Raw genomic sequence first — 11,721 nt, 5'->3', positions numbered from 1 at the left:
TTTCAGGAGAAGAAGTCAGAAAAGGGTGCTCCAAACTGACTATATGGAAGCAATAGAGATGTAAAAGAATATGGCCCATTTATTATTTAGGGTAAATGCTGAGTGCTGTTACGAGAAGGTTTAGAAATGTGGCCAGGCGTGGTGGCTCATGCCTGTAATTACAACACTTTGGGAGGCTAAGGCAGGAGAATTGCTAGAGCTCAGGAGTTCAAGACCAGCTTGGGCAACAAAGGGAAACCCCATCTCTACAAAATTAGCCAAGTGCGGTGGTACATGCCTGTAGTTCCAGCTACTTGGGAGGCTGAGGTGGAAGGATGGCTTGAGCCTGGGAGGCAGAGGTTGCAGTGAGCCAAAATCATGCCACTTCACTCCAGCCTGGGTGGCAGAGCCAGACCCTGCCTCCAAAAATCAATCAATAAATAAATAAAAATAAATTTAAAAATTAAAAATTTAAAAATTTAAAAAGTAGATATGCATATAAGTAAAAACAGAAATTCACTTCTCGCTTACATAAAATGGTGGCTTTTCTCATGCAATGATTTGGAATTAGGCTCCTTTCTTCGTGGGTTTTTCTGTGTCTTCAGGTATGGTTGCTTTCCACATCTGCCCAACAGAAGGGGCAAGATATCTTAAAAGGTCATATCTACTAGCCCAGAAATGGCACACTAAACACCCATTTATATTCCACCAGCTAGAACTCAGTCATATGGCCACGATTACTCACACAGAGTAGACAATACATGGTTTCCAAATGAACATAGTAAGTTGTACTGAGATACAGTCTCTTGTGACCAAAGTTACTGAAATGTTTTTGTAGGAATGGAATATATATTGAATAAGTGTCAAACAAAAAATACAGTCTAAAAGTAAACTTCTAGGGGAGGCTGGGAACTATAACGTAGCTTAACTACTATGAAAAAAAAAACTATTGGTAATTTTTAACAGTAATATTTCCTTCTTGCTTATGTCACTACAGTGAAAGTTGTCAAAGAGGCTTTGTTGCTTGCAGTCATTTAAGGATCAGCTTTTTTTCCATATGATGCTTCAACAATATCCTAGGACCTCAAAGCTTCTGCATGATCCTCTACAGTGGCCAGAAGACAAAGGGAGAGAGAATTATTTGAGGGACGAGGCCTGAAAGTTGTAGACAACCCCTCCAATCACATCCTGTGAACAGAACTTAGTCATATGACTCCAGTAGTCTCTGCTTTCCCCAGCTCCAGCTCCAAGATGGGGAAATCCTTCACCAACTTCATGTGCAAGAAGGACTTTCATCCCACCTCTAAATCTAATGTCAAAAAAATATGGAGGGAGGAATAGAAAATATTACATGGTAAGAAGAAATAAGAAGAATTAATGCAACAATATCTTTAAGAACAAGAATCGTATGATAATAGCTTGGTTATGGGATATGAATCTGTAAAGAATGGTCTTAATTTCATGTATGAAGCCCCACCAGAAGCTTAAAAAGTAGACAAAGAGAAAGAAGAAATAGAGGAGAGACTGAATACAAATTTGAATGGCAGAAAGGAGCCCTACAAGAAAAATATGCCAAAGATGACATGAACATCAGAGATCAGCCCTTTGGTATTCAGGTTTGAAATGTGAGGGGCATTAAATGTCACAAATGGGGTCATGTCAACAGAGATCAAGAATACACTTTGTTGGGTCTTTCTGGAATCAATGCAAGTTCAGTTCCCAGTGATGGCTCAGGGCCATCAATGCACCCCTCAGAGCCAATAGAGGAAATGAGAAACAGTGGATTTGCCCTGCAATGTAATGTACTGCAGAGAAACTTGACCACAAATGATCCATCACAGGAGTTTGCTGTAAGTGACACTGAAGAAGATCCAGAAGTTGAATTTTTAAAGTTATTAACAACCAAACAAAAACAGAAACTTCTCAGGAAATTAGATAAACTGGAGGAGAAACAAAGAAAAAGAGATAGAAAAAAAGAAAAAGTTTCAGAAGATCTGAAGTACACACAAAAAACATAAAAACAAATCCTCTTCTTCCTCCTCCTCCTCCTCTTCCCCTACTGAAACTTCAGAAAGCAGTAGAGTGAGAGCGACATTAAAGGAAAAAATATATTGAAAAGAAGAAAAGAAAGAAATGCAAGAGCTCAGGGCATAACAACAGTGATTCTGAAGAGAAGGACAAGCCTAAAAAGAGAAAACTTTATAAAGAACTTTCTAAAAGTTACCCTAAACTGGAAAAAAGCCAAGGAAAGGCCTGAGTTCTTAAAACACAAGAGTTCTAGGGAGAATGGCAAATGGAGCCATTCCGATTCTGACAAAAAGTCCAGAAGCCATAATCATAGCCCAGAGAAAAGAGTCTCTGAAAGAAAGGAGGGGAGCTGCAGAAGCCATGGCAGAGAAGATAGGATCTGGGGAAGCCAAAGCAGTTCTGTAGCTATAAACAAAGAGAGATAAGAAAACAGCCACAGCCAAGTCCCAGTGAAGAGTGTAGTAGAAGAAATGACACCAGAAGCCATGGCACAGATGTATACAGAGAAGAAAAAAATGTACAGAGTACCCAGGAGATACGCATAATAAAGTGACACAAAGAGAATGAAGCAGAATGAGAGACTAAAGAGAGACTCTATGTGATGATTATCTGGGAATAAAAATATCTCCACTTTTTAATGAATACCTTTATCATGGGCTAAATGATGTACTATTGTCTTTCTAATTAATAAAGCTCTATTTAAAAAAAAAAGAGGCTGGAAAGTAACATCTAGCTGTTTGCAAATTAAAACAGATATTTGTGTACAAGCCAGTCTTTGACTTTTATTCTCCACACATGGAACACGCTTGCTACTTCCATAAAAGAGACAGCCAATGCCTCATCTAGTCTCTGCCCCTAGCTCAGAGTCTAGTACCTTTAGGAGATATGCAGTCCTCAAGCACAAATGCCATGTCTGGTAGTTCTATATGAACTATAAGTCGTGTTTATTTGATCCCCTTTTTCACCAAAAAGTATATGTATGTTCTATGTATACACAGAGTGGAGCAGAATAACTATGATAACCATGCCCATTTGAAGAATGGCAGAATGGAAGTAGTCATTTGGCTGTAGTGTCTATGAAATCCTGTTGGGCCAGCTTGGTGAATGAAGGTTATTTTCCTGACACTTGGTAGAGTTTCCAAATTAGACCTTGACTCTGTTTTCTGGGAGTAACCCTTCATTTCCCATTATTCTCCACTGGGGATGTTGCCATCCTTTGGGGATGCTCAGCTTTTACAGCTCATTTACTTCTGGAGAAAGCTTGAGGAACTGAAATGTGTTTTATAGCTTGAACATTCAAAGGTTTTTTTTTTCTTTTACATTGTCTAATTGGCAACAGAAGTCCCTCAAAATTTTAGTGGGCTTCTGATTTATTTGCTTCAAGTCACTTTCATATGACAGTAACCACACTTAAAGTATTTTTCTAGACCTAGTTTTATCTCTGCTGGCTCATCCTCAAACGTCTTCTCTCAATTTGATAGGGTATCATGATGGCAGCTGGATAGACCTTCATGGAAAGGTACCTTTAATTTGACTTTCTAAAATATGGCTGAGTAAATCACTTCAACTGAAAAGTCTCACTGAGTCTTCAGCGCTCAAAGCCATTTTCTCAATCTCATCTTTTATGTCTCTTATTTTGGAGTTCAGAATCAATTGGCTTTCCCACCTTAAAAAAGCCTCTAAATTCCTCCTGTTCCTTTTTTGCTACAAATAAACCACTTATTTCTTGCGATCTTTTTCTTGTAATGCCTTTCGAAACTCATCCAATAGCAACCTATACTCATGAATAATGTTCTGTTTTTCAACCTCTCTTCATAGTTATATGTGTATGCTTGTGATCTGCCTTTCTAGTTATCATATTTTATTTTTACCAGATATTTTGCCATATTAAAGGATGGATCTCAACTGTCAGCCTTTTGTATCTGCTTCTTTGTAGCTCATTGCCCAACCACTCAGCCAATGACACATTCTTTAGGTTTTATTGCAGCAGCAACACCCCTCGATATCTGTGTTAATGTGGCAGGCTAAAAGTTATTAGACTCAACAATAAAATATCAACGGATTATCACATACACACACAAGACATCATTCTTGTTTACATCACAGTACAATGGAAATTGAGGGTGGGGGAGCTGCTTCATGTAATCATTTAGGGATCCAAATGCCTGTGATCTCATGGCTCTATCATCCCTCAGAGGCTCAGCGTCCTCCATTGTATAGTTCACATCTGGCCTGCAGATATTGTATTGTTCACATCTGGCTTCCAGGAAAGAAAGGGAGTGTGGAGAAGTAAGTCGGGCTTTAAGGACTAGGCATGGAAATGGCACATATCACATCTATGTATGTTCTGCTACCTACACTCAGAAACATAGCCCCACTTAATAAAGAGGATTAGATCATACAGTCTAAATGGGTATATGGAGAAAGATAACACAGATATTGTTTACAGTTGGCAAGTTTCTGCCACAACAAAAAAGAAAATGGATTTTTAGTGAGCAAATGGCAATGTCTGCATTAGCTCATTTCCAGGATGCTGTACTACTTAGAAGTTGAGCCTTGTGGGTTTTGCACCAATGGAGTTACTACTATAATTCAGACCCATCAGCTGTGCCTAAGAGTGGAAGGTGATTAAAAAAAAAATAAGTCAAGCCATTGAAGGTCTTTTATGCCATGGTAGAGAATTTGCTTTCCATTCTATAGTAACTGAGAATTTTTTTGAGATCTCTTTTGTTAACAATAGAGTGACACAATCAAATTTTCACTATTAAACTACAGCTCTAGAAATGTAAAAGAAAGAAGGAAGCTAACATTAATTGGACATTATTTAGTGCCAAAAATTACCTAGGTTTGATTTCATTTAACTCCAGCAGCAGCCTTATAAATTAGATAATTTTATTGTGTCCAATTTCTACAAGTGAGGAAAGTTCATAAAGCTTTATCTTTTGTCTACAATAAGTCTCAAAGCTGATATGCCAACTGAGAAATATCTGACTCCAGAATCCATGTTTTTTTCAATAGATAAGCAGATTAATTGGAGGTGATACTAGAAACATAAAAGCCTTTTAGAAAATTGTTTCAGCATCTCATGCAAGTAAAGAAGAGAGTACGTACCAGGCCAGAAGTGTGAGGACAGAAAAAAACAGCAACCCATTTGGGACATAACTTGAAAGCATAATAGACAAAGCCTGGGCATCTATTGAATGTGAGAGGCAATGGGGAGGGAAGAATTAAGAATGTCTCTAGTCTCTTGCTTAGGAAAAAGGACAATGAAGAGCAGAAGCATGTTTATGGAGCTGAAAAAAACAGATCTTAAAATAAGAAAGAAGTCAAAGTGGAAATTTTACTACTGTGCTATGAAATTTAAGGAAGATCATTAGCAAATTCTCTAATATCTTCAATGTCTCCAAATTGTCCCTTCACCTTCTTGCTTTAATAAAAATGCAGATGCCTTCTGTGAACCTCATTTTCCTTGAAACTCCTAAAGTAAATTCTGATTTTCCGCTCACAGTTCTTGGACCAGTAAATAAAGTAAGTGTCCTTGTTTCTCACAGTGGATCCCAGATCATTTCCCTCCCTCTTCCCTGAAAGAAAAAACAAAAAGCTTTAAATTCCATATCTTCAGAGTAGTTCACTACTAGCCCTGCTTATTACTGTCATCTGCTGTTACCTGATGTATTAATCAGCTTTTGCTGCATAATGCTGCATGACAAACAATCTCAAAACTTAACAGTTTACAAAAACAATCATTTGTGTTCCACCTACTGGTCTGTGGATTAGCTTTAGCTGGATGGAAATGAGCTAAACTCACTTGGGCTTAGAACCAGGTTATAGATTAGTTTCAGATCTGCTTCACATGTCTTCACATTCCAAATCCCAGGCTGAATGAGCAGCCACCATCCCAGCATGCAGTTCTAACAACAGAGGTCAGTAGGAGCTCAAGAGGAATGGCTACATCCTGTAATAGCCTTTAAAGCCTCTGTTCAGAACTGGCACATTTTCACTTATCGCTACATTCCCTTGGCCAAAGAAAGTGACATGGCCAAGCCTAATATTTACTAAACAATAATAAAATCTGCCACAGTGGGTCATGACTCCTCATTGATTAAGTGTTTTATCTCTTGGATCCCCAAAACCCTCTCATGTTGATTTCTTTTATTATGCATTAGGTCCTGGGGTACATGTGTAGAATATGCAGGTTTGTTACATAGGTATAAACTTGCCGTGGTGGTTTGCTGCACCCATCAACCTGTCATCTACGTCAGGTATTTTTCCTAATGCTCTCCGTCCCCTAGACTCCCATCCCCCAACAGGCCCCAATGCGTGATGTTCCCCTCCCTGTGTCCATGTGTTCTCATTTTTCAACTCCCACTTATAAGTGAGAACATGCAGTGTTTGGTTTTCTGTTCCTGTGTTAGTTTGCTGAGAATGATGGTTTCCAGCTTCATCCATGTCCCTGCAAAGGACATGAACTCATTCTTTTTTATGGCTGCATAGTATTCCATGGTGTATATGTGCCACATTTTCTTTATCCAGCCTATCATTGATGGGCATCTGGGTTGGTTCCAAGTCTTTGCTATTGTGAACAGTGCTGCAATAAACATATTGTGTGCATGTGTCTTTATAGTAGAATGATTTATAATCCTTTGGGTATATACCCAGTAACAGGATTGTGGGGTCAAATGGTATTTCTGGTTCTAGATCCTTAATGTTGATTTTTAATGTAATGGTATGGGCTTTATAATTATCCTTTCAAAATGATAATTTCAAAACTGAGGTCTATCAGTTCTTTAGACTACTTTCTTCCTTTGGAATTTGTTCATTCCCATAATCAATCTCTAGACCCACTACAAAATAACAATTTCAATTTCAAGCTTCCTATTCAACAACTTCTTTCTATATACATTTTCTCTGTATACATACATACATGTATACATTTTCTCTCATCTCCTCCCATAATTCCTGCTTACTACTTTCAATATCTTGTGTTTGGCAGAATAATGACCCCCAAAGATGTCAATGTCCTAATTCCCGCTGTTACATGACAAAGGGAAATTTAAATATTAGACAGAATTAAGTTTACTAATTAGCAAATCTTAAAATATGAAGATTATCCTGGAATATCCAGATGGGCTCATTGTGTAATCACAAGAGACCTAAATGAAGAAGGCAGAAGAGTAAGAACCAGAGAAAGATATTAACAGACATTGCTGGCTTTGAAGATGAAAGGGGGCCATGAACAGGGAATGCGGGAAACCACTAGAAACTGGAAAAACTACAAAAATATATTTTTTCCCTGGAGCTTTCAGAAAGAAACTTAACTTTATCATCACCTTGATTTTAGCCCAGTGGGATGCATTTTGGAGTTCTGACATCCAGGATTGTAAAATAATAAATTTGTATTTTTATAAACTATTACATTTGTAGTAACTTGCTACACAAGCAATAGGAAACTAATAGACATCTTAACTCAAAACTCCTTTAACCCCAGAAAAACAATACTTTGATATTATCACATTTTTACTGTCCCTCACTTTCCTTAGGGCTTCATCTTATTCACACAATTTATCAGCTTAGATTCTACGGCCAGACATTATAATAACCCCACTCTGTTGCTTTGTGATACCTCACTCAGTAAAACTGAAAACACTATCTCTCAGCCCACTCTAAGTCTTCACTTACATGCCAGAATGTGACAATGACAGTGATTATGCAGAACACAATCACCTTAAATTCGCTGTGTCTTTCATCAAGTGGGTCTCCAATACTCTCCAGCTAAAATGCCATATTTCCCTAATTCATTCACTAATCCACATTCTGAATAACTACTTTATATATATTTCTCCTCAAAACTCCCACACCAATTCTCCCATTACATTAGGTCAATGACCTTGTTTCATTAAATAAAAGGAAACAATCTGAAGGTTACATCCACACTCTCCCACCTTCCCACATGTGTGCCCTGTGTTTTTTCTCCTATTGCTATGGAGGGTATGACTGTGCTTTTAGCTAAAGCCACATCTTTCACTTGTACTCTATGCCTTGTCTTCTTTAACCCACTCAAGGATATCAATCAGGAAGTTCTCCAGTCTATCTCAAGTCTTAATTTTCTCTCTCTACAACCATTTCACTTCATATATAAACATAATATCATTTCTTCTGTATTAAAAATATTTACTTGCCCCCTCAGCCTTATCCAAGGCCTCCCATGTCCTTTCTCTTAGCTAAACTTCTTGAAAGTCTTGTCTACAATCATCGTCCTCTATTTCTTATCTCAAATCCCTCCTGCATTCTTTCTTGAACTCATGCCATTATTTTCCTCAAACACTAAAAAACAATAGGTTTTGTTAAGTCACCAAAGGCCCTGTATTCCAAAGTCCAAAGATAGTTATCAACCCTCATTTTGTTTGACCTATTAATAGCATTTGATTCTTCAGATACCTCTTTCTTCTTTAAAGTAATTTTTTCACTTGGATTCCAGGTCACCATCTTTTTCTGGTGTTCCTCTTTTCTCAGGGAGAGCTCCCTCTCTATCTCCTTTGTTGTTTTCATATTCCTAATCTCTAGAGTGTAGTGTCTCATATCGAACTCATGGGACTTCTTCTCTATTCATGCTCACTCTCTTAGTGATCTCATCCAATCTCTAAGACACCAAGCTGAAAATTTTCAAATTTACGTGTCTACCCAGGAACTCTCCCCTGAACTCCAGCCTCTTATATTCAAGACTGTCTACACAACATCACGATTTGGATTTTTAATAATAATTTCAAACAAAATATTCCTCTTGACTCTCCCTTTCCCTGATACAAGCACACACATACATGCACACACACCCCAAATATGTTTCTTTTGAACTCTTTACGTATCACATCTCAATAGTAACTCCACTCTCATGGTTTCTTGGCCAAAACTTTGTGTGGTAATATCAATTCTTCCCTTTTGTTAATATCCATATTCTGTTGTTTCTACTTTCAAAATATGTTCAGATTGTGACCAATTCTCCTTTATGTCTACTGCAATCTCCATGGTCAGAGCTTGCTTGGACATGGCAGTAACCAACTAACTGTCCTAAGCTTGGCAGCCATCAACTGGCTTCTCATTCTACTCCATGAAAGTCAAAGTCAATGATTTTGACTGCTTCCCCAAAGCCAAGTCTAGCCCATTTGAGCCTTTGTAAAAAACATTATAAACTTCCCCCTCCTCTAGTGAATTCAGCTGCATCTACCTAGCACATGGCAGAATAAGAGTCTTTCCCATCTACCCAATTTATGTTTGTGACTCTTCTCCCCATCCCCACCTCAGCAGAACTCACTTAGTCTTTTCCTCACTTTACATACATAGCGTAGTACTTTTTTTTTTTTTTTTGGTTATTTTCTCTCCCTTCTAGAATGCAAGGCCCATGAGGCTATATATGCTTCTCTGTCTTGTTTAATACTCTATTCCTAGTGCCTAAAAAAAAAAGTCTGATACATAGCAGGGGCTCAATTATGTTTCTTGAATTAATGACTTGAATTAATTGTATTTCCTGAGCAAGAAAACCTAACATAGTTGAAATATAATGAATAAGATCACTCCAAATATTTAGAATGAGAAAACTTTTCCATCAAGACAAGGAAGCACACTGAGAAGGAATAAATATAATAAAATATGTGACTTGATTCCAGCTCCCCAAACTCAAAATAAATCAATTGCTTCATGAGGTAGCATAAATCATGCCAATAATTATTAAAGTCATCAAATTACCTCTAAAATATATTATACAAGGACTGTGTATGTGTTATTGTGTATATGTTTGATGGGGAAGTGAAAAAGGGAAAGAGACACTAATGAATTTAGTTTTACCTTCAAAGATCAGATGCTTTTTGGAATTCACTCCAACTGATAGACTAGCACAAACATTTGGAAAACCTCAGACTAAAGAAAACTTAAAAAAATGCTCAGTTTTATTCTTGTTTATCTTTTCTCTGATTGCTGTGAATTTCTCACAAAGTAGAAAACCACAAGTAGTGGAAATATATGTCAACAGCTCAAAAATCAAAGCAACTAGTGCTCATTTTGAGAACAAAAAATAACCCCTGCCATATCATTTTCTAAAATCTAAAATTTGAGCTATATTTACTTTACTAAAATTTTATTCCTGTGCATCAGGGGATCTTTCTGGTGCTTAATTCCTTTTTAGATGGTCACTTCACAGAATATTTTAGTAAATTCACTTAGAAAAATCTACGCTTTCAGCCGGGCGCAGTGGCTCACACCTGTAATTCCAGCACTTTGGGAGGCCAAGGCGGGAGGATCACCTGAGGTCGGGAGTTCGAGACCAGCCTGAGCAACATGGAGAAACCCTGTCTCTACGAAAAATACAAAAATTAGCCAGATATGGTGGCATGTGCCTGTAATCCCAGCTACTCAGGAGGCTGAGGCAGAAGAATCGCTTGAACCCAGGGGGCAGAGGTTGCAGTGAGCTGAGATTGTGCCACTGCACTCCGGCCTGGGTGACAAGAGCAAAACTCCGTCCAAAAAAAGAAATAAAATCTATGCTTTATGCTTTCAGTGCTCTTCTATTTTCAGCACATAGGAAGTATCCTGTCTTTTTGAATGTGTTTACAACCTGAATATGTCCAGTACACTGGAACTTCATGAATCGAAAGGCAAAATTATCCAGTTACACAATAGTATGCATAATTTATCAGATCAGCTTCTTTCTATGGAGATAGTCGTGGATTCTCTGTTCTATACTGTCAATTCCCAGGTTTGTATTATTGGCCATTGTGTTATTATTTGCTGAAATGAATTTTAAAAGTATGACTCTCTATCCTATGACATTATAGTCCAACTGCAAAAATACCAATTGGCATGAACAGCATGCTCTGGTTGTTTATTCACATGGAACAGCCTGCTCTGGCCAGGTCTTTTCCTTGCCCTTTCCATTTGTCTAACATTTGTCCTCTTCTACTAGCCAACCTGCATAAAATTGATTACTTAGAAATGGCCAAATGATGTTCAGATTATATAGAGAGAAACCCAGCAATTGTTTTTCTACTTAAAATTGTTCATTGGACAAACGCATTAGAAAAGACATTATGGGGATAACTGGCAAAATTTAGGAGTGGACAGAGTATTGGAAGACATCAAGAAATTATTATTTTCAGATGTGATAATATTATTTTAGATGTATGTGTTCTTATTTTTGTACAGATGCACATTAGAAGTACTTAGAGATAAAATGTAATGATGTATGTAATTTATTTCACAATAATTAAGCAAATAAAAATGAAATTATAAAGTGAAAAAGCTATCAATGTCTGAAATATCACTGATGATTTACATTAACACTTATATTGGCATATATTATTCCTGTTGTTAAAAAAATTACTAAGTAGCAGTTATTGAGTGCTTATTATGTGCCAGGCACTCTGGTAAGTATTTTATATGCACTATCACGTTGAATTATCCAACAAACTTATTTGTTGGGTAATATTTCCCTTTTAAAAATGAGAATATTACCTCAGAAAAATTAAGTTATTGTCCAATGTGACAGTGTTTAAAATATCTTACACAGAAGCAAAAATATATTCTGTCAAGATAAGGCAAATTAAAATAATTGAAGAAAAATAAATGAAGAAAATTTAGTAATAGAAAAATAAAGTAGAGCCAATAGTGAGTTTGGCAAGATAATTTAAGGCCTTGAAGTGGTATATACTTGTGAAATAAACTCCA

General features: G+C 37.2%; 1 pseudogene; it reads left to right on the top strand.

Moving 5' to 3' along the window:
- On the top strand, nucleotides 1,199-2,711 carry CIR1P2 (CIR1 pseudogene 2; annotated as a pseudogene).

Source organism: Homo sapiens, chromosome 4 (genome assembly GCF_000001405.40).
Source record: "Homo sapiens chromosome 4, GRCh38.p14 Primary Assembly".
Lineage (NCBI taxonomy): Eukaryota > Metazoa > Chordata > Mammalia > Primates > Hominidae > Homo > Homo sapiens.
This window is presented reverse-complemented; position numbering and strand designations above follow the sequence as displayed.